The following is a 24,076-nucleotide window of genomic DNA, read 5'->3' on the forward strand; positions in this document are numbered from 1 at the left end:
AAAGTGAAACAGTGAGGAAGCAGAAGCCAATCGGGAGTGTATTGATCAGTAGGTGAACACTGTGGGCAACTGGGGCTCAGTCCCACTGACAGCCCTCTGAGACACGTGGAGGGCAGCCTTTGGAATTGTCCCATTGTGGAGCAAGGAAGCTGGGGTGTTTATCAAAGAATTCCTGTCCCTCACTGGTTAAAAGTTGCTTCTGAGACATTAACTCCCTGGCACTTTTGCCTAACCCATGTAGAGATGACATGCTCCTGTGGTCAGAGAAAGCCCTCAAGTCAAGACAGAAATGCTTGAGAAATGAAGCCATAGACAGGGACAGGAATTGCTCACTTGGTCTTCAGATGGTTTCTGGGATAGTCCCAGGGGATATGAGTGAGGCACCAATAACACCTGTTAAATGGACACAGAAATGTGTGTGGGGGAAGGGGAGGGTATTGTAAATTAGGAAATTGTTCATAGAAGTGTTGTCTTAGCAAGCTTTTGAAGGTCAATAGGCATTCTCCCAGATGGACAGATATAGAAAGTGTTTCAGACTGATGGGACATTATACACAAGGGCTTAGAGATGTGAACTAGTGTGCTGATGTGAAATATCCCAAGCAGATGGGTACAGATAAGCCTGCAGGGGAAGGAGACACAAGGTGAGATGATACTACTGAGGCTTGATAGCATTTGCACTACATCTTTCCAATGCTGGGAAACAAAATCCACAGCAAGCTGGTGAAAGGGTTTTGTCAGCTGTGGCCAAGATAAAAGGTTTTGTCATCGTGGCAATGCTGACAAAACCCTTTGACCATTTTCCTGATCTCTGATCTGCAGTATCCCCTCACCACACACACACACACACACACACACACACACACACACACACACACACATTTCTGGGCCCATGTAACAGGTGCTGAGTGTAGCTTGTGGGGCTATTTGGGTGGACAGGCAAGGAGGTCCCATTGGGGGTCTCGGCTAGCCTCCAGATTTATGGGACATGTTTTAAACCCTCTACATAATTTAGCTTCTTGTTTTCCCTTAGTTTGTTTACCCACTTTGATGGAAGGAGAGATTTCCTTTTCCTGAACTTCTCAATTTTACCCTAGTCATTAGCAGAATCATGTGGAATAAAGACCTCAAGGAAATTGCGGCATTTTCATTTCTTATGAGGAAGTGTAATTTGGGGCTCAAGGAAAACAGAGCCTGTGTTATTGACAGAAGAAACATGACCCTCACAGGGGAAAAGAGAACAATATGGATTGGGATATTCTTACTTCAAACATATACCACTGTGTTTAAATAAATAAATAACCCAGAAATACCCCTGGGGGGAAAGCACAATGAACAAATTATGATGATCATATTCCATCTGTGCACTGCATCTGTGTTTGAGGTGTTTGACTCTCTGAGTAGGTCGCCTAAGCAAGGCTCCAGGAGCCACCACTAATCTTGGCAGCAGCCTTGATGATGTTCTTTCTCCATTATTTTGTGTTTTACCTCATGGGCAAAGAAAAAAGGGGAAAAACCCCAATGATAAAAATAAAGGATCTTTTGGGAGTTGTTCTTGTTTATTTAACTTCCTTCTTTTAAAATAAAGAAATGCAGCTGGGAGCAAGGAAGGGAGAGAAAGGTAAGAATATTTTAAAACTAATTATAGCATAAAAATCATCCAAGAGTGCTCTGTTCCGGCCTCTGTTAAAGTCACAGCTTCGTCCTTATGCATGAGTCAGAGGCACCCAGGGGTTAAGCTTGTGACTGTCAAGAGCCATTATTGCATTTGGTTATTTTTGTGGGATGCTGGAATGCAGCTAGTGTCAGTCCCATCCTGTGACACAGGGCAGGGTTTCTCAACACTGGCCCTATTGGCATTTTGGGCTGAAGGATTCTTTGTCATGGGGGCTGTCCTGGTCATTGTAGGATGTTTAGCGGCATCCCTGGCCTCCATCCGTTGGACAGATGCCCCCTCCCAGATTGTGACAGCCAAAAACATCTCCAGGCATTGCCAAATATCCCCTGGGGGACAAAATCACCCCTGTTTAAGAACAAATGACATAGGGCTACAAAACTTGCTGCTATGGAAGCAAACTTGTTCCACATAATCCAGGAGGTCACTCCAGTTTTTTATCCAAATTAAAAAAAAAAACAAAACACTAAAAAACAGGTCCTCACCTTTCCCCGCTTTGGTCTGTAGTTGCTTTCTAACTTCTAGAGCCTTTTTATTGCCCAAAAATATACAGTTCCCTACAATACTTTGTCTTTATTTGATTTTTCTCAGGCCTCTCAAGCAGACCATGGCTGCTGAACAAAACCTAGACCCCTGTGGTTGGGAACCTTGGGTGAGCTGATAATCAGACATTTTTATATAGTAAAAAGGAAAAGAAATTTTTATGTCCTTCCTTTTAAAAATGATCTGTTGCAAATTATATTATTTTTAATTTCCAGGAAAATTGTCAAAGTTACAATCTCCTTAAAGGCAAGGACTATGTTTTGTACTTCTGATTGTAATTGTTCACAATGCTCAGCACATAGTAGATACTCAATAAATGCATAATGATTAACTGATTGAGATGGATCAACTAGCATTTAGACTTCAGCCATAGAAGCAGCAGCCATAGAAAAACCCAGAAACAAGCAAATAGACCTCTAGATGAGTATCTTTACTTGAGTGAGTCATTAGTAAGGAAATAAGTATCACAGAAATACACCTGCTTTTCTCAGTTCAGATTGGTTCAGCAGACATATATTGAGTGCTTTGTGCAGTGGGGACTCTCAAGGCACTTAAAAGCACATAAAAATACTTCAGTGGATAATTTCAGTGCAATATGGGACATTCTAAGACAGAGGGGCTTAAACAGCTCTGTGGGAGCCCAGTAGAGGGGCACCAGCATAGCCTTTGCAAGGAGGTGAGAGCAGGGTTGGAAGGTATAATACTTGAGCTATGTCAAGGGACAGTAGGCATGTGAAGGGGTGGGAACTGAAGGGGTGGGATGGTGGCAAGGACAGTCCAGGCAGAGGAATAGCATGAACAAAGTTACGAAAGCATTTATTGGCATGATTGGTATGGGAGGACCATCATGTATGATTTGATGTTGCAGGGGCTGGGAATGATGGAAGATGAAGCTGGAGACATGGAAAGGCCAGGTCATGGATGACCTGACACCCCTACCAGGGAGTGGGGGCCCTCTTCTGCATGGGGAGGGCACAGAAAGGGTTTAAGCGAGAGGATGAGGCAACACGATTTGTGTCTTGTGCAGCAGGAAGCATGGGCTTAAAGAGCAAAGGTCAGATCAGGCACTGCCATGACACTCAAGAAGAGAGGTCGCAGAGGCTTGCTCTAAGTAATGAAAGGTGGGTGGTGCAGAGCTGAGAAATGGAGCAGGATGTCCAAATAGACTGAACCACAAGTGGAAACCCTCTGAACAAGGGAGAGCCCACAGGTGGTTGGGTGGCCTTTGAAAGATCTGTGGAGATGTGAAAAGGATTTCTTCCTTACCTTTATGCTGCTCTCTCTTTCTCTGATTTTTGTGTCATTTTAGGTAGAGAAGAGAAGCTATCTTACAGATATTCCTTATCTTACAGATATTCCTTATAGAGGCCTTTGTGGTTTCAAGGTCTCTAAGCTCATCAAAGAGGTGAAGTTGGATATCACAGAAGGAGCAGCTGGTGTCCCCAAAGGGTAGAGCTACAGGGATGGGAGGGAAAAAGAGGGAGGGTCCAGATTTTGAAAGGAAGAGAGGCCTAGATTCCTAAGTTAGTGTCTCTAACATGACAGATGCTGGAAGGGGAATGATCTGAGTCGGAAAATTATATTTGATATACTTAATACCAGTGAATTCAGGACTACTTGTGAAGTTCTGGAGTGCAATGCTAAGATCTGGAGTGCAGGTGAAAGTGCTTAGAATTGAGCAAGTCAAGAACTCATAAGGCTGGTAGTGTGTTGAATGGACCATCCTCGGAGGCATTGACATGTCCCAGAATTGAATGGAGATTCAGTCCACCCCTAAGATTGGTGTGGCCTCTGCAAGAGTTCAAATGGAGGTGCCTGCCTTCTTTTCCCACACCCACCCCCATCTATTCTGAGATGTGGAACAAGGAGGACAGGGCAGGTGGGATGGGCTTGAACATCCAAGCTCCACTCACACCTTCCCAACCAGTAGCTACTTGGATGCCTCTAGGAGTGCACACACCAGTAGCGCTGCTCACCCTCTGGAGGACAGACCCATGGAGGAGGCCCTGGAAGTGGGCTCAGGGCCATATGGGCAGGCACTTTGAAGGTCCTAGGTATCCAGAACATAGTCTTGAAAGAGGGGGCATGGGCTGTCTGTGAGACTCTTCCCTTGGCCCCTTAGATTTCTTGTCTCTTAGAGAGCAGGGTCCTCTAAAAAAGGGGCCCAGGGTAGGAACCCTGGTGGATTAGATCTAAAGGCAGTAATGGCAGGTTTAGAGATGCAGAAAAAGGATATGAGTCAGGGCCTTGGTCTTCAATGAATGTGTGTGTGTGTGTGTGTGTGTGTGTGTGTGTCTGTGTGTTTTGAGAATATGGGTGGCAGTGATAGCAAATAGAGGGGAAATAAATAAATATAGGGGAAATAAAGGTGAAGATCCACCTTAATCCAACTCAATTGCCTTAGAATCCAGTGAGATGTAAGGTTATGCTCTAGCAGGTTGATTTTCTGGTTTTCCCTGGTAACCTTCAGTTCCTGCAGAGTTAAAAAGACAAGCAAGCAGAGTGAGGAAATGCTGAGAGATGACACACTGAGAAGTGGTAGCTGGCAGCAAAAGACAGCGAAAGAGTGAGAGAGAACAGTCCCCAAATAGAAAAACATATTAGGAGGGGGTCATCTAGTGCCAGGGCAAATAGCCTTACATGCCTCAAAAGCTCCTCAGGATACAACTCCATTACAGCATGGAACAATGATGAATGCGCTTTTAGAAGTTTCCATTTTTGGGAAAAAGCATTTGCTTTCAGTTGTCTAAAAAATCCATTAATTTAAACCTCTTCTTTCTCCAACAACTCGTGATGAGTTGGATATTGCTGCAGATCCCATTTCATCTGAGCATCAGATTCTGTTACCTCTCCTCTGGTTCAGTATCACCTGATCAAGTTTGATATTGCTTTTCCTCCTCCTGCCCCCCTCCTGGAGAATTTCACCTGCCTCATCCACAGAGGAGCATTGTATGGCTCATTGCGTGGTCAGGCAGGATAAAGTCAGCTCCACTAATCTAAGCCCGAAAATGAAGCGGCAATTCTGCTGTTATGCCCTAATTCACAGGCTCATCATTAAATTGTTATCATAGCCTCAGACGAGACTTTTAATTCTCTTACAACAGCTGGCAAATGGCAGGAACAGATGCTCTCACCCACTGAAGCAGCTTCTGCAGGAGCAGTGGAGAAGAGAGAGAATAATGGATACCAGCAAGGAAGGTTCAGACACTCCCTTATCCGCCACTCTCAATCCTGGAAAATCTGGGCTTCCACTTTGGGAGTCTTATTGCAGCTCACCAGGAGCTGGTCACAGTATGGAACCAAGAGAGGTGTGGGCCTGGGAGAGCTTTTGTGTGGCTTTTAGAGCTCCCCTTAGCTCCGGGTGGATTCCCACAACTTCCCTGTATCAAGTCCTCCCTCTAAATGTTGGCTCTAAAAGCAAGAATGCAGATGGAGTCCCCACCTCATGTGATGCTATGCTTACCCTCTTTACCCTGAGCAAGAAAGGCACTGTGGGCCAGTCTGGCAACCAAACCATTGTTCATAATATCGCTTTTATGGACAGGGATTTCCAGTGCCAAACGACTGACTGACAAACAAATTTGAGTAATTTGGGGCCATCGTGTTTGTACATGTGTGTGCATGTCATGCCAGCATGTCCCCAACACTCATCTGCAGAATCCACACCCAGGCTCTGGGGCCATTCCTGATCTGAATGGGTAGATGAGACATGATATGACAGTGGCGGTGTGGGAGGAGGAGGAGAGGAGCCGATGTGTTTTACGACCCTTCTCTGTAGCATCAAGGCCAGCTCAGTAGGATAAAGTGCTCTGGAGAATGAAATCCCACTTGGTAGTATCAAGCGTAGTATTAAGAGCTGACAGGTTTTCCAACCCCATTCTGCATTACCGAGTATCAGAATGTCTATAACTACTCCGTAGGTAGGAATTACTGACACCCTTTAAGAGATAAGGAAACTGGACTGGGAGAGATTAGGTAACGTTTCACAGGTGGAGGGGAGGTCAAAGAGCCAGGATTCTCATTTACCCCATGCTCTAACCAGTGTCCAGCAACCTCTCCTAAAAGGCACCTTGGGTGCTTATACTTTGTACTTCAAGGGCTCATTTGCCTGAGTTTTCTGATAGTCCAGGACTGATCTTATCTCTTGAGTCTAACAATAAGGCTTTGTCTTGTTCCCCGTGGCTGGTCACCTTGATTTAGGTCTCATTTCTGATAACTGCATCCTTATCTAATTCCTCTTCATCAGGTGCCGCTCACGACCAGGATCTCCATTCCTCTAGGACAAAATATTCACCCTGATCTTTCCACTGTTGCCTTTAAGTCCCAGCTACTGGGACCTTAGTCCCCCAGTGCCACCTTCTAGATTTATAGACAATGACCACTTACTAGTTGCCCCCATTGCTGACAGTCGGCTTCCCTGATCCACATTGCCTCTCTCTGATCTCCAAGCTCCTATCCTCAGCCCACCTGTAAGCATCTGGCCATCCCTAGCCACTGTGTAATGCCTCATCAACATGTCCTGTCTGTCCCCTAGGTCCGAACCACTCCAGGTGCCACTGAAGCATTTGTAAGAGACCTACAAGCAAGCCTGAATTTTCCTAAAGGGGTGCCAGGGAGTCTGGACCACACATTTCTACTTCTGCCTTGACCAGAGCCATCCCCCAAGTCTTCCCTTAGAGATCTGCCTTTTGGAAACTCTGGCCACCCACTGGGCTGGCAATTAATGATCCCACCCAGCCTCTTAGGCCGTTTCTTATCACTATTGCTGACCCCAGGGGTTCACTTGGAAGCTTTCTCCAATGCATTTTCCATTATTGATTAAATATATAAGGGAGAAAAGCTTTAATTATTAGTAATTCTTTCTTGCACTGACTTGCAAGAAAAGCACTCAGAGCAAGGGAAAAATACAATTCCCAGAGGTCCTCCCAGCTTCGCTCTGTGGAGAGCAAAGGAAGTATGAAGCCTCAAGGTCTCCCAGCTTTCCTAGTGCAGCCTGGGAGGTGTGGTAACTCCTGTGGCATTCTCTGCTGCGGTAGCAAGGTAGAAAATAGTGATAGTGGAGAGAATCATGGATGAGGAAAGACCCTCACAATGAATGTCAGGGAAAGTTTTAGAGCAGATTGAGAGGTGTAGATTGAGAGGGCAGCTTTGGAGTATGAGAGAATTTAAAAGGAGTCAAAATTTATTATCATTATTATATTATTTATTACACACCATGTTGCCTAGGATTATACACAGGATTCCCCATATTTAAGAGATACAATGAAAGGATGGTTACTAAAATTACTTTTAGTTTCTGAAGTGCATTTATTTGAATGTGATTTTGGAAAGAGACTGGGCCATGTGGAACTCCAGAACCATAAAAACCACATGTGGATACTGCCCCAGGCCACTGAAGAAAACATAATTGTTTTGCAAACTATCATCTGACAAGTCCTTAGGAAGGTACTGTTTTCATCTGAAGATAAATTTTACCTAAATTCTACCATGTTTTTCAATGCTGCAGTCCTCCTCACCTGGAATCCTTCCATCCTTGGCTCCCTGTATCTGCAATGCAAAAGAAATACAAACATTTACCTATAGCAAAACTCTGAGAATCTCCACAAAGTCAGGCTGCCAGGAAAGCCTAAGAGCCTGGGAAGGAGAAGGAGGGGACAATACATTCTGCATGGTTTAGGCATCCTTGCTGCCCAGTGCCTTTTAATCCCCTTGGCAAATGGCCTGGGTTTATTTTTTAGAGTGGGTTGGGCAAACTCAGATGGAAAAGGCAATACATGGCTGGAGCACAGGAGCCATGAGTAGAAAATATGGGACCCTCGGCCGGGCGCGGTGGCTCACGCCTGTAATCCCAGCACTTTGGGAAGCCGAGGCGGGCGGATCACGAGGTCAGGAGATCGAGACCATCCCGGCTAAAACGGTGAAACCCCGTCTCTACTAAAAATACAAAAAATTAGCCGGGCGTAGTGGCGGGCGCCTGTAGTCCCAGCTACTTGGGAGGCTGAGGCAGGAGAATGGCGTGAACCCGGGAGGCGGAGCTTGCAGTGAGCCGAGATCCCGCCACTGCACTCCAGCCTGGGCGACAGAGCGAGACTCCGTCTCAAAAAAAAAAAAAAAAAAAAAAAAAAGAAAATATGGGACTCTCCAAATTCTCACCTTGTGGTGCTAATCCCATCACCTATAGTAATGTTGCAAGGCAGGTGAAAGCTTGAATTCTATCTCCAAGGTTATAAAGGAGGTATAAAATAAAACATCTATCAAATATTTTGAGACCCTTAGAAGCACAGAATGTTATAGCTGAAAATCCTAGGTGTCTCTGAGAATGTGGAAATAGGCCATTTTAGCTTAAAACAAAACAAAAGATTGCAATCTACTGAGCCTGAAGTGGTTTGAGATCTATGTATGCTTAATCTAGCAATGTATGTCCCAAATACTGCAGGTCCTCTTGACTTTAATCATGGAAAGATGATCCCATATTCATTGAGAAGAAATAAATAAAGCAGCCTCTTTAACCTGCCTTTCCCAAATACCAAAACCACTCGTTTGCATGTAACACACTGAAGGCATCAGGTAACTATTGAGTGCTTTTCTCCATTTCATCTTAGTAGGAGTCACACTTTTTACTCCCCTTTTCTGCTTTTGGTAAGCCTCAGGCTTTGCCAGTGAGGAAGAGACCCTTTCAAAATATTGGACACCAGATACAGGATTTGGAAGAAATTGGAGTGATGTCATCTAGGGAAAGGCGGTCCAAAAAAGAGCCACCTAAAGGCTGGAGGAAGAATCGTCTGAAAATATTAGAGGGAACAGTATCTGATGTTCACATAGGACTGGAAATAGTGTCTGTTCTGAACCAGGCATGGAAAGAGGCAGGAAAACACAACCTATAATGAGGAAAATAATTAATCAGTAGAAACCATCCCCAGACTGACACAGATGTTGGAATTAGCAGAACAGGACACCAAAATAGTTTTTATTTTGAGTTCTTCTATATTTCAAAAAGTTAAATAGAAATGTGGAAAATATAAAAGATCCAAATTGAATTTCTAGAGATGAAAACTACAATGCCTGAGATTAAAATACACTGGATGGAACTGATGGCAGACTAGGCATTTCAGGAGAGAAAAGATTCATTGGACTTGAAGATCGAGGTATAGAAACTACCTAAAATGAAACGCAGAGAGAAGAAATAGTTTCAAAAGTTAACAGAGCTGTCCGGGCATGGTGGGTGCTCACACCTGTAATCCCAGCACTTTGGGAGGCCAAGGTGGGCTAATCACCTGAGGTGAGGAGTTCAAGACCAGCCTGGCCAACATGGTGAAACCCCATCTCCACAAAAATACAAAAATTAGCCAGGCATGATCTTGGGTGCCTGTAATCCCAGCTACTCAGGAGGCTGAGGAGGGAGAATTGCTTGAACCTGGGAGGCAGATGTTGCACTGAGCTGAGATCACGCCATTGCACTTCGGCCTGGGTGACAGAGCAAGACTCCGTCTCAAAAAAAAAAAAAAAAATGTTAACAGAGCATCAGTGGTGGGACAACTCCAACAGCCTAATATAACTGTCATTGGAGCACCAAAGGAGAGGAGGGGGAGTAGGAGACTTGAAAAAATATTTGAGGAAATAATGTCCAAATTTTTTTTTCAAATTTAATGAATACTATAAACTCATAAATCCAAGAAGCTCAATGAACACCAAGTAAAAGAAACATGAAGAAAAGCATATGAAAATAAAATTTCATAAAAGCACATCAGTATAAAATGTGTCAAAAACCATTGATAAAGAGAAATCATAAAATCATCCAGAGATAAAAGACCACAACATTCAAAGGGACAAAGATAAGGATAACAGCAGATTTCTCCTTGGGAGAAATACAAGTGAGACAGTTGTATCAATCTAGAATACTATACTCAGCAAAGCTATCTGTCAAAAACAAAAGTGAAATAAAAACTTCTTCAGACACAAAAATCTGAAAGAATTTATCTCCAGCAGGCCTACACTGTAAGAAATGTTATAGGAAGTTTCAGGCAGAAAAAAAAAAGATACCACATATAGATACGGGTCTACACAACAGAATAAAGAACATTGGAAATGGTAGCTACATATATATGTGTATAAAACTTTTCCTTATCATTTAAATGCCTTTAAAATATAATTATATTTTTAAGCAAAAATAATAATAATGTATTGTATTGTAGGGTTTACAATATATGTGAAAACAAAATGTATAGCTAACAATACCACAAAGCCCATAAAAGGAGAAGTGGAAGAAAGGATTTTATACTATACATAAAAATGCTATAATATCACTTGAAGGTAGAATGTAAAATGTTAGAGATGTATATTATAAACCCTATAGCAGCCACTAAATAACAAAACAAAGAGTTATAGCTAATAAACCAAGGAAAAAGATGATAAAAATATTTTTTAAAAAACCAGCGTATTGGCCGGGCACGGTGGCTCACGCTTGTAATCCCAGCACTTTGGGAGGCCGAGGCGGGCGGATCACGAGGTCAGGAGATCAAGACCATCCTGCCTAACACGGTGAAACCCCGTCTCTACTAAAAATACAAAAAAATTAGCCGGGCGTGATGGCGGGCGCCTGTAGTCCCAGCTACTCGGGAGGCTGAGGCAGGAGAATGGCGTGAACCCAGGAGGCAGAGCTTGCAGTGAGCCAAGATTGCGCCACTGCACTCCCGCCTGGGCCACAGAGCGAGACTCCGTCTCAAAAAAAAACAAAAAAAACCAAAAAAAACCACAGCGTATTAATCCAAAAAAGGCAGAAATCGAGAAAAATGGAACAAAGGACAGCTGGGACAAATAGAAAAAAATTACAATGATGAACTAAAGTCTACCCATATCAACAATACATTAAATATAAATGTTGAAACAATCTCAATTAAAAGGCAGAGATTGTCAGAGTGGATAAAAAAGCAAGACTGACCTATATGTTGCCTATAGGAAACATACATTAAATGTTAAGATACAAATAGATTAAAGGTAATAGGATGATAGAAAGACAAAGTCTTGTCAAGATATTCGTTCTTTCCAGCTTGTTGTAAAGATTCATCACAATTCAAAAAAAATTAAAAGTCCCTGCAAGATATTTTGTAATATCAACAGAGATTCTAAAGTTTATATGGAGAGGCAAAAGACCCAGAATAGCCAACACAATATTGAGGGACAAGAAAAAAGTAAACCTGATACTGCTTAACTTCAAGACTTACTATAAATCTACGATAATCAAGACTGATATTGGTGAGAGAATCGACAAATAGAACAATGGAATTGAATAGAGAGCTCATAAATAGACCCTCATGAATATAGTTAACTAATCTTTGACAAATGAGCAAAGGCAATGCAATGAGGAAAAGACAGTCTTTTCAACAAATGATACTGGAATAATTGGATATCCATATATAAAAAGATGGAACTAGACAAAGACTTTACATCCTTCACAAACAGTAGCTCAAAATGGATCATAAGCTTAAATGTAAAATCCAAAACTATAAAACTAGAAGAGTTAATAAAAGAAAAAGAAAGAAAGAAAATCTAGATGACCTGGGATTTGGCAATAACTTTTAGATGCAACACCAGAACCACAATCCATGAAACAAAGAATTGATAAACTGGTGTTTACTAAAATTAAAGACTTCTGCTTTGCAAAAGACATTGTCAAGAGAATGAGAAGACAAACCACAGATGGGGAGAAAATATTTGCAAAAGACGCATTTAATAAAGGGCAGTTATCCAAAATACACCAAGAATTTTAAAACTGAACATTAAGAAAACAAACAACCTGATTTAAAAGTGGGCAACAGATCTGAACAAGCATCTCAACAAAAATATACAGATGGCAAATAAGTGTATGAAAAGATGTTCAACATTATATGTCATTAGGGAATTTCAAGTTAAAACAGCAATGAGACATTGATTAGAATGTTGAAAATTCAAGACACTGATAACACCAAATGCTGACAAGGATGTGGAGCAACAAGTACTCTCATTCATTGCTGTGGAAATGTAAAATGGTACAGTCACTTTGGAAGGTATTTTGGCAGTTTCTTACAAAACTAAACATACTCTTACCAAACAATACAGCAATAATGCTCCCTGGTATTTACCAAAAGAAGTTGAAAACTTATGTTCATGCAAAAATCTGTGCATGATGTTTATAGCAGCTTTATTTATAATTGCCCAAACTTGGAAGCAACCATGATGTCCTTCAGTAGGTGAATGGATAAATAAATGGTGGTACATCCAGACAATAGAATATTATTTGGTGCTAAAGAGAAATGAGCTATTAAGTCATGAAAACACATAGAGGGAACTTAAATGTGTATTCCTATAAGAAGCCTGTCTGAAAGGCTGCATACTTTTGATTCCAACTATATGACATTCTAGAAAAGGCAGAACTACAGAGATGGTAAAAAGATCAGTGGTCATCAGGGGTTGGGAGAGGGAGAGATGAAAAGGAGAGGTATAGAGGATTTGTAGGGCAGTGAAACTACTCTTTGACTCCATGTCTTATATCCAGGTAATGCCGATGCAAGAGGTGGGCTCCCATGGTCTTCGGCAGCTCTGCCCCTGTGGCTTTGCAAGGTGTGGCCTCCCTCCCAGCTGCTTTCACAGGGTGGTGTTGAGCATGGCTTTTCCAGGTGCACAGGGTAAGCTGTTGGTGGATCTACCATTCTGGCTCTGGAGGATGGTGGCCCTCTTCTCCCAGCTCCACTAGGCAGCACCCCAGTGGGGACTCTCTATGGGGGACCCACTCCACATTTCCTTTCTGCACTGCCCTAGCAAAGGTTCTCTATGAATACCTCACCCCAGCAGCAAACTTCTATCTGGACATCCAGGCATTTCCATACATGCTCTGAAATCTAGGCTGAGGTTCCCAAACCTCAATTCTTGACTTCTGTGTACCTGCAGGCTCAACACCACAAGGCTTGGGACTTGCACCCTCTGAAGCCATGGCCTGAGTTGTACATTGGCCCTTTTTAGTCATGGCTGGAGCAGCTGGGACACAGGGCACCAAATCCCTAGACTGCACACAGCAGAGGGACCCTAGGCCCAACCCATGAAACCATTTTTTTCTCCTAGGCCTCCAGGCCTGTGATGGGAGGGGCTGCCACAAAGGTCTCTGACATGCCCTGGAGACATTTTCCACATTGTCTTGGTGGTTGACATTTGATTCCATGTTACTTATGCAAATTTCTGCAGCCAGCTTGAATTTCTCCTCAGAAAATGGGATTTTCTTTTCTATTGCATTGTCAGGCTGCAATTTTTCCGAACTTTTATGCTGTGCTTCTCTTATAAAACTGAATGCCTTTAACAGCACCCAAGTCACCTCTTGAATGCTTTGCTGCTTAGAAATTTCTTCTGCCAGATACCCTAAATCATCTCTCTCAAGTTCAAAGTTCCACAAATCTCTAGGGCAGGGGCAAAATGCCACCAGTCTCTTTGCTAAAACATAACAAGAGTCACCTTTGCTCCAGTTCCCAACAAGTTCCTTATCTCCATCTGAGACCATCTCAGCCTGAATTTCATTGTCTGTATCATTATCAGCATTTTGGTCAAAGCCATTCAAAAAGTCTCTGGGAAGTTCCAAATTGTCTCACATTTTCCTGTCTTCTCCTGAGCCCTCCAAACTGTTCCAAACTCTGCCTGTTACCCACTTCTAAAGTTGTTTCCACATTTTCGGGTATCTTTTCAGCAGTGCCCCACTCTACTGGTACCAATTTACTGTATTAGTCAATTTTTTCACTGCTGATAAAGACATACCTGAGACTGGGAAATTTACAAAAGAAAGAGGTTTAATGGACTCACAGTTCCACGTGGATGAGGAGGCCTCACAATCATGGCAGAAGGTGAAAGGCACATCTTGTGATGGTAGACAAGATAAGAGAATGAGAGCCAAATGAAAGGGATTTCCCCTTATAAAATAATCAGATCTTGTGAGACTTAGTCACTACCATGAGAACAGTATGGGGGAAACTGCCCCCATGATTCAGTTATCTCCCACTGGGTCCCTCCCACAACATGTGGGAATTATGGGAGCTACAACTCAAAATGAGATTTGGGTGGGTACACAGCACAACTGTATCAATGACCAACTTTAAGATACACTCTAATAAAATTGCAGGACTTTACAGAGAAAGAAAAATACTTTGAGCATCTAGAAAAAAAGAGTACGTGGCATGAAAAAGAAAGAAAATTAGATTATTATCACACTTTTTGCCAGAAGAAAATGAAATAACATATTTAAGGTATCCAAGACAGAAAATGTGAGCCCAAAACTGTATATTCAGCAAAACTGACTTTCAACATAAACATAAAGGGTACAGACATACTGTTTATCAACAACTTAGGGAAACTGGCTCCATAAGTCCCTCCTAAGAAGTCTTCTAGAGCACAAACCTTGGGTAACCAAAATAACTAGAGAGAGATTCGTGTAGAGCATTAAATACACAGTTACTTGTGAAACTAAGACTAAATGAGTGCTAATGATAAAGTGTATAATGGCTCCATGTCCTGACAATGGAGACATAGTACAACTATTTTTTTAAGTGGGGTGGATCGAGAGATCTTATGTAAAACACTTTTAAAATGTTTTTGGTCATAATAATGATGGTAGGATTAGTATTTTATTCTGAGTCTGCTGTGTATGCAATATGGGATAAAACAAATGAGTAATTGTAGGATATTCTAATTCTATCATCCTCTGTGTCCTTGAGAATAGGATTCTTGGCATGGAAGAAAGGATATATAGATGAAAGAGGTTAATAAAAGTTCTGTCATCAAATATGCTTTCTCTGCTATATAACAGAGCTGGGGGCTGCAGAGGGACTATATACATGTATTCCCTCTGCAACCCCCACCTCCATTCACTGAAAAGGTCTAGAAACAATGATCAACCTAGTAGCAAGGGACATCCCTAGCATTCAGGCTGATTCTGAAATACCAATTTTTACTCAAAAGATGCAAATCTCCTTAGAGAAATGGCTAATTCCAAATCCAAGTTAGAAAGTGTCCAAGAGGAACAATTTGTCACACCAGTCAGCAAGGAAGCTATTAAAGACTACTGGGGTTTGGCTGGGCGTGGTGCCTCACGCCTGTAATCCCAGCACTTTGGGAGGCTATGGTGGGTGGATCATGAGGTCAGGAGATCGAGACCATCCTGGCTAACACGGTTAAACCCCGTCTCTACTAAAAATACAAAAATTAGCCAGATCCCAGCTACCTGGGAGGCTGAGGCAGGAGAATGGTGTGAATCCGGGAGATGGAGCTTGTAGTGAGCTGAGATCGCGCCACTGCACTCCAGCCTGGGTGACAGAGAAAGACTCTGTCTCAAAAAAAAAAAAAAAAAAAGAGACTACTGGAGTTCTGACAAAAGGCCTCAACAGCCAAATTGTAGAGAATCCCATAACAAAAGATAGGAACATTTTGGCTTCAACAACAATAATTTCAAGGGAATGAAAGTCATTACACATGTTTAAATCCACAATTCACAATGGTCTTTAAAATTTTTGAAAGAATTAGTCATCTAAAGAGGAGGTGGGCTGTTGACTGATCCTGCTTTCCCCATATGAACTGTACCTGTGAGCACACATACAGGTTGAGCATCCCTAATCTGAAAATCTGAAATCCAAAATACTCCAGAATCCAAAGCTTTCTGAGCTCCAACATGATGCAAGTGAATGACGATGGCATTGTTAACACTGCAGAAAAAATGCCTATGGATGACTTGCTGAAAATGTGTGGTGGGCTTATTGAGGGACTACAGCAGCATGCATTCACAACAGAACAAGAAATAAAGGCAGTTTGTAACATCAAAGAGAGACTTGCAAGACAAAAACTGTAATTAATGAGGCAGATGACTCTCGAAGAAACATTTTAAAAAGTCATCCAGCAGAATGTTTTCTCATCCCTAGCAGACCTATATCCTGGTCCCTCAGCTACTTCTGATGTTCCTTCTTACCTAAAAGAAAAAAAAAACAATGTACAGTAACCTTTTAACCAAAATACAGCATCTTAGGTGGAGACTGAAGTCTACCTTTGTTGTTACTGCTGTTTCATAGCTGATGCCTGTATTCTGGTGATGCTACTGTGCTGCTTAGTTACCCTGAACACATATTTTTTCACTGTGTCAATGATATACTTTTTGCTAAGTATTTATGCATGAATAAGTGTGGGAAAATGATTGCTTATTGGTAGCATATACATTCAGAGTCAGGAATGATGGTGATGCCAAGCAACCACTGATTGTCCATATGGATGGCTGAGATAGTGATTCTTTGCTTTCTGATGATTCAATGTACACACATTTTGTTTCATGCATAAAATTATTTAAAATGTTATATAAAATTACGTTCAGATTATGTGCATAAGGTGTATATGAAACATAGGTTGGGTGTGGTGGCTCATGCCTGTAATCCTAGCAATTTGGTAGGCAGAGACAGGAGGATCACTTGAGCCCAGGAGTACAAGATCAACCTGGGCAACATAAGGAGACCTCCATCTCTACAAAAAAACAAAAACAAAAAAGAAAGAAAAATTATCTGGGTGTGGTTGTGCATGCCTGTGGTCCCAGCTACTTGGGAGGCTGAGGCGGGAGGATCACTTAAGCCAGGGATGTCGAGGCTGCAGTGAGCTGTCATTGCACCACTGCACTCCAGCCTGGGTGACAGAGTGAGACCCTGTTTCTAAATAAAAATAATAATAGTAAGGTATATATGAAACATAAGTGAATTTTGTGTTTAGACTTGGGTCTTATTCCCAAGATATCTCATTATGTATATGCAAATATTTCAAAATCCAAAAAACTTTGAAATCTGAAACCCTTCTGGTCTTAACCATTTCAGATGAGGGATATTCAACATGTAGCAGATGAAGGCAATAATCTCTCTATAAAAGCATTTCCCAACTGATAAATGAAAATTAGGATATCACCAACTTGCAGTTTCTAATGAATGAACAAATATAGGTAGATGTAGTAGATATAGGTATAGGTAGATATAATAGGTATGGGTATAGAGACCAAAGGAACCAGGAGGAGAGGTATGGGAAAAACATACTTTTGTTGTTCTCTGGGCAGACAGAAATAATAGTGACCACTGCCACTGCACTCCAGCCTGGACAACATAACAAGACTCAACTCTAGTAATATATTTTTTTAAAAAAAAGAACTCATAGAGCTGTGGAGCAATAGCTTGGCACCATTTGGGGCAGGCCTGAGCCTGTGTGCCCCCCTTCCCTTTGTGTGGTGTCCTAAAGAGAGGATCTGATCTGGTCTTTATGTCACCATTCATTTATGGAAAGCCCCCACTGGAAAGAAAAGCTCAACCAGGTGAAATTTCAAATCAACTTACTTTCAAGATAAACTTTCCTCAAGTCTGGTCTACCAATGGTTGTCTTGATTTAGGTCCTAAGTCCTGGTCCAATTAGTTGGAGCCAGGGTAATGGAGCTAATTTTACTGGAAGCACCATTTAGGAAGGGCTTCTTGGGCAGATTTTTCTACCTTCCTCATCCAAGGACTAAGCTCTGGCCAATGAGACTTCTGAGAAGTCTTAAAAGAAGAGGACACACCCTCCTCTCCTTCCTTCACCAGCTTCCAGAAACAAGAATATGGTGGACTCCTACAGCCATCTTAGAACATGAGAATGAGACGTTTAAAGGGAAGGCAGAGCAGAGAAAACTAGGGGAACAAACAGTGTCGGTGATGATTTCATCAACTTGCTGTGCTGGCCTCAGGCTACCTACCTCTAGATTTGTGTGAAACAGAAAGAATCCACAGTTATTTGGAGGTTTTCTGTTATATACAATTGACTATTCTCCTCATTGTTATAACCCCCATACATTCCAATCTGGTAAAATAGGCAAATCCTGGGCTCTTTCCCCTAAGGACATCATCAAATGGCTGCCTAAACTGATAAACACAGAGCACTATAGTGAGTAATGGCAGCAGGTATTACTTTTGCAGGAGTGTGAGTATTTCTTTTTTCTTTTTTGAGACGAAGTCTGGCTCTGTCACCCAGGCTGGAGTGCAGTGGTGCAATCTCGCCTCAATGCAACCTCCGCCTGCCAGGTTCAAGCGATTCTCCTGCCTCAGCCTCCCGAGTAGCTGGGATTGCAGTCGCCTGCAACCACGCCTGGCTAATTTTTGTATTTTAGTAGAAATGGGGTTTCACCATGTTGGTCAGGCTGGTCCCGAACTCCTAACCTCAGGTGACCCGCCTGCTGGGATCAACCTCCCAAAGTGCTGGGATTACAGGCATGAGCCACCGCAACCTGCCAAGAGTGTCAGTATTTCAATAGGAATCTTCCAGACTCTCAATGCCCTAGGCCTAGGTAATTAACCTCTGTGGTAGACACTTTTATTTGCCTGTACAGCACTCCTTCTCCCTTGCCAACAAAGTGTTAATTTTGTTCTGGTATTACGTGTCTGTGTGCTAAGATGAGGCTGGAATTTTCTCTCTCTCCACATGGTTACTTATACCTACTCCTCTCTGCATGTCTGGCTCATTCTTCCTGCTCTGCTGTACAACTTTCTTTGCATGTGGCAGAAAATGGCTTTGCCCAAGCTCTCCAACTGACATGCACCATACAGACTAGCTGTTTCTGAACCACATTTCTAAATTTCTGAGAGTGATACTGGCTCTGCTTTAGTTAAGTACATTCCTCTGATCCAATAAACTGGGTCGAGGAGGGCTGTGTAGTACCTACATGATAGCAACTGCTGGGGGCATCTCTATGAGAAGTTTGGGTGTAGCACTCAGAGAAGAAGTGCAGGAACTGGGCAGACACCCCAAGAGGGCATCTGCTATAAGCTTGACTGCACTTGATACATACTAGCTTCCTGGTCCCCATAGCTATACTCCCAAGGCTGTGATCTTACTGAGGCCAGGGCCCAGAAGGGTCACTGCCCAGTATAGATACTGCAGAAGGACCACCAGATATTGTAGGTAGACAAGATGGATGTAATACCCATCAATGCCAATCACCAAATCTTTCCAGCTCTCTGCTTTCTGGATGGGTAGAATTTTATTTCCTGGTCCCCTGAGGTTGGATGGCGCTATGTAACCAGTTCTGGTCATTATGGCATTTAATTACTGGTGAAGGGGCTTCTAAGATGGTTCTTTCCTTCTTCCGTGATCATTGGTAATGTTTCAGATGGCGGTTGCTCCATCAGTTGGATCCTAATGTAGATGTTATAATGCAATGGGCTTGTGATGGACAGAATATAAGCAGAAAGATGTCACTGAGATTTGTGAGTGCTTGTTACTGCAGCATGCCTATCCTACCATGGGTGATACCATGCAGATTGGGCTGGGGTTAGCAGCATTGCTGGAAGAAGACACTTGAAGATTCTAACTCACAACCAAGCCTGTCACACAGACTTTTTTTCCTTCCTCTGTTCTGGGTCCCCCTTGAATCCCTTGTCCCTACTTCAGAAAGGAAAGTGCTGTTTCCTAGTAGTGAAAGCATCAAGGAGCAATAAAGTTGGAGATTTCTTTCTTGCTTGGACAGGGGTGGTGCCCAGGGGTGTGCTGGACACATGGACAGAGTTTGGTTAGGGGAGTTTGGTGCTCACACCAGACTCAGAGAGAGCTGTCTCTTAGCTGACGCTCAGCTTAGTTCGCAAAAGGACAGAGGCCAGGGTAGGGGGCGCAGCTTAGCTCTAAACTACCAGGTAAGGATCCAAATGCTGTCCCACCTTCCTGCAAAACTCATGGAAGTCAGGCTGAGGAGTCTGGAAAGCTAAGCCGAAAGCCAGGGGGGCTCCAGTACATGCAGATCCCAAATGTGGGAATGCTATGTGATGATTTTATGAAATACAAAAGTCAAATGAATTTTTCATGAAGAAGTTATCTTCCCAAGATGCAATAATGGAAAATTCCTTTCAAGAACTGGTGTTTAGACCTCACAAAAATGCGCGGCAAATTGCATTGTGATTTATTTGTCAATGTTTTTATAGGTTAGGCGTTACTTTCAACCCCACAGCTGGAGTCAATTTTTAATATTTAAAAGTGGAAAGAAAGCAAAACCTAAACACATCCAGAGCTGTCTGTTTTAGATTGTGCTTTTCCCAAACAGTGATGTTTAGAACTGAACCCTGAGCGTGGTCGGTCTGTGGCCAGCTGGCACTTACTTCTCTGCGATATAGAATTAAAGTATCTGGAACTGGGCAGATTACATATAAGACCTCCTAAATTGTAATTGGTGGGTCTGGTGTTTATAACCATTTTCAAGTGCACGTAGCCTGTCTGCCCTCTGAATTGAAGAAGGAAAGAGTCTTTGTGCTTTTTATTCTGGGTTTTCCTTCATGCCCTGAGCTTAAGATGCCATGAACATAATTTTCAAGTCCAGTGGGTTCTGGCCTTATTAGCTGACTGGATTAGCAGGGATCCAGCACTCCAATCAACTATAGAGATGCAAATTGGGTCTCCAGACTTTGACTCCTAAGGAGCCTAGTCTGGAAATGACCCAGGGTTTACCTGCCTGGGTCTCCAGGTAAAACCAGGATGCTGGCCTTGAAGGTGGGTTCTCACAGCAAGGATTCTAATCTCAAAAGAGATCAAGCCTTGAAGCTTAATCCGATTCTCTTGGGCCAAGTGTCCAGACTCTAATGGGAGTCTCATTTTCACAGAATGGTACTCCCAGAAGCACGGGATTCATACCTCAGTGCATAGCACACCGTACCTCATGCTTAACTGCAGCCACCATGGTTGGAGGTGTAAGGCTGGCACTGGCACTGGATGTGGCTGAGGCTGCCATGTGTGTGCTTACTAATAAAGGACTCTGTAACACACAACATCTGGAGGGAGGAAAAACAACTCTAATTGTGATAGGCACAACCCCTTTGGGTAACATAGTTGATACCCTTCTAATGGAGGGCGTGTTTCTCTTTGCCTTCTCCTTTCTGCTTCCTCCTGATAATTTGGCCAAGGCCCACAGGAGTTGACCCATTTCCAAATGTGTGAGTGGGTCCAGCTGAATCTGCCAGTGGGGGGCCTTTGAAGCTGTGAACAACACCCCCTCATCAGACTTTGAGACACATCCACCCCTTAAGAGACAAGCTTCAGGATATAAGGAGCCTCGGCAAAGCATGGAAATGTCAGATGTACAAGCATCTGGGGCTCAGCTTCAGCTACTGTGGCCTTTCCCCAGGACCCATGCCCAGGGTCCTCTTCCTGAACTCCAGCATCAACAGACCCCCTTCAATAAACTCCAACATTCAGAACATCAACAAGCGAGGGGATGGGGAAGGGCAGTGATTATTCCAAGGGCAGAGATGCTATCAGGTTTTGCTCCAAAAAGGATTTTTCGCCTCACACAAGAATTTGCTACGGATTTCCTTTTAAAAGTGCACACCCCAAGAACACTCAGCAGCTGATTCAGCTTAATGTGCAAATCCCCAGGAACACAATGCGTGAAGTGAGGTACACGGGCAATTGGGGCCAAGGTGCAGCAGAACTTCCCACCAGCAGGGGGAGCTCTTCCCCGGGTCAGGCAGCCATGGCAGGTCCAATCACACGCCCGTTACCCAATAAAAACATGCTGCAGTTTCAAGAGGGAGGAACAGAACTGAACCCTGCTGTCCAAAAAAAGACACCACAGATGCCCAGTAGGCTTGTGCTTTATCCTGAGGGCAATGGGGAGCCACGGAGGATTCTGAGATGTGTAGGGTTCTATCAGGGCTTCCAGTCGTTCTTGCCCAGTGCCTGTGACTTCTTTGAGGAATCTATTTCCAGGGATGGTGTTCCCTGCATTTTCGGCTCTTCTTTTAAAATGCATTACAGTGATGATCCATGAGCCACCTTCCAGGGACCCAGGGCAGGCTCAAGCTTAGGGGTGTTTCTCAAGAAGTGCATAGCTTCGTGTGTTGACTCAGAGGAAAGGTAGGCATGGTTTAGGGGAATGAGGGGGGAGTGACAGGCAGAAATGCTATTGTTTTTTGCTGCAGTGAAGCGCCAAGCCTTCAAACAAGAAGCTTGGCACCAAAAATGGTGCTGTTAGAAAGTTAATGGGCAAGACATTTTGAGAAAGTGTTGTGGAGATAAGCATCAAGAGGAAACGTCACTGTTTTAACTTTGCCGGCATCCAGGAAACCAAGAAAAGCAGAGCCACCCCTGAGCTGGACTGCAGCGCACACACGCACATGCTCATGGAATCCAAGCCCTGTCCAGAGACAAACATCTCCCAGAAGCAAATCAAGAGTGACTTTTCCGAAGAAAGAGCTGGGGAAATGGTATTTCCTTCCTGTGCTGAAGAACAGAGTTACGACATTCTAGGGAAGAGATGTGAGCTCCCAGGGGCAAGAACTGGGCACCATCCCGCTATTCCTGCTGAATATTAATAGCAAAAGCAAATATCTTGACTTCAGAGAGCTCCAAAAGACAGAGTCACCCAAGAGGAAGTGATGAAAAGGAGAAATGAGTGCCGGGCGCGGTGGCTCACGCCTGTAATCCCAACATTTTCGGAGGCCGAGGCGGGCGGATCACCTGAGGTCAAGAGTTTGAGACCAGCCTGACTAACATGGTGAAACCCATCTCAACTAAAAAAAAAAAAAAAAAAAAAAAAAAAAATTAGCCTGGTGTACTGGTGGGCGCCTGTAATCTCAGCTACTTGGGAGGCTGAGGCGGGAGAATCACTTGAACCGGGGAGGCGGAGGTTGCAGTGAGCTGAGATCAAGCCATTGCACTCCAACCTGGGCAACAGAGCCAGACTCTGGCTCAAAAAAAAAAAAAAGAAAGAAAGAAAGAAAAGGATAAATGAGTGTTTTCTTGAATGCTTTCTACCAGAATCAGGCCACTGTGATCTCCCTCACTGCAATAGTCTCCTAATGGGTTTGCCTACCTCTGATCTTGACTTCCTTCTCCCATTCAGCCTCCATAGAGCAGCCAGGAGGATCTTTCTAATCTGATCTGCTTAGAATCTTTCAGTGGCTCGCATACCCCAAATCTTTGATATAAGTCATGAGGCCCTCCAGACTCTCATCTCTGGGGAAATCTCAGAGGCTCATCTCTTGCCACTTCTTGGTCTTGCCCTTTCTGCTCTAATCATTCTGAAACCCTGTAGCTCCCTGAATGTGCCATGTTTCCAGTGGCATGGGAAGGGTAAACAGTCCTGGGGACCTTGTAGCTCCCTGAATGTGCCATGTTTTCAGGGGCATGGGAAGGGTAAACAGTGCTGGGGACGTTGTAATGTACCTTGTGTCCTTTCTCTTTATCTTGGCTGGAAGTTGCCAAGACTCTCATCTTTGAGGGCCCACCATAAACTGGGACATATGGTCTCTTCTGTCCCCTCTTTGCTGTATCCCTGTATGGTTTTTACTTACCTTCGGGGTCTTTGCAAATACCTGGGGGTTCCCCTTTCATCCTTTTCTCCCCATTTTGTCCTTCAAATCTTGAATTAGAAATTATTACATTAGAAAAGCCTATTCTGACTCCCCAAAACTGGGAGGGACACCTGGTATCTCTCTCCCACGTTGCCCTGTGCTTATCTCTCTTGCACCATTTGCACACTGTGTGTAACTCCCTGCAGACCTGCCCATCCCATCCACCCTGTAAACTTGCGCTCCACAAAGGTGGGACCTTCTTCCCTCTGTGTCTCCATGCCTAGTCCAGTGCCTGTCATACTGTGGGAGCTCAGTAATATTTCCTGAATGATCATATTCCTTTCTCCAAGGCTACGAAGACAACCATGTCTTTTTGAGCCAATTTCTTTCTTTTTTTTTTTTTCATTAATTTCCCCAAGCCCCCAACAAACAGTAAGATCTATTTTTAATGATGCCACAAGCTGGCCTGTAAATGATGCATTCATTGTCAGATACATTTGGCCGTTGTTTGTACTTGCAAGGAATAT

General features: G+C 43.3%; 1 protein-coding gene across 2 annotated transcripts in view, besides 2 other annotated features; it reads right to left on the reverse strand.

Annotated features, from left to right (window-relative positions):
* Window positions 6,642-7,143: an enhancer, noted in NCBI's record as "NANOG hESC enhancer chr8:99355446-99355947 (GRCh37/hg19 assembly coordinates)". NCBI's record gives its function as "activates a minimal SCP1, AML or CMV promoter by ChIP-STARR-seq in primed H9 embryonic stem cells {active_cell/tissue: H9 hESC(primed)}" and the evidence as "EXISTENCE:reporter gene assay evidence [ECO:0000049][PMID:30033119]".
* Window positions 7,399-24,076, reverse strand: part of STK3 (serine/threonine kinase 3) — a 598,636-nt gene continuing 581,958 nt past the window's right edge. For both annotated transcript variants that reach the window (XR_007060753.1, XR_007060752.1), the window contains one exon: window positions 7,399-7,764. The gene's annotated coding sequence lies outside the window, so the exon portion shown is untranslated. The remainder of the gene's footprint in view (window positions 7,765-24,076) is intronic.
* Window positions 22,305-22,599: a silencer, noted in NCBI's record as "tiled region #13929; HepG2 Repressive non-DNase unmatched - State 22:ReprW". NCBI's record gives its function as "represses a minimal TATA promoter and a strong SV40 promoter by Sharpr-MPRA in HepG2 cells {active_cell/tissue: HepG2}" and the evidence as "EXISTENCE:reporter gene assay evidence [ECO:0000049][PMID:27701403]".

Source organism: Homo sapiens, chromosome 8 (assembly GCF_000001405.40).
Source record: "Homo sapiens chromosome 8, GRCh38.p14 Primary Assembly".
Lineage (NCBI taxonomy): Eukaryota > Metazoa > Chordata > Mammalia > Primates > Hominidae > Homo > Homo sapiens.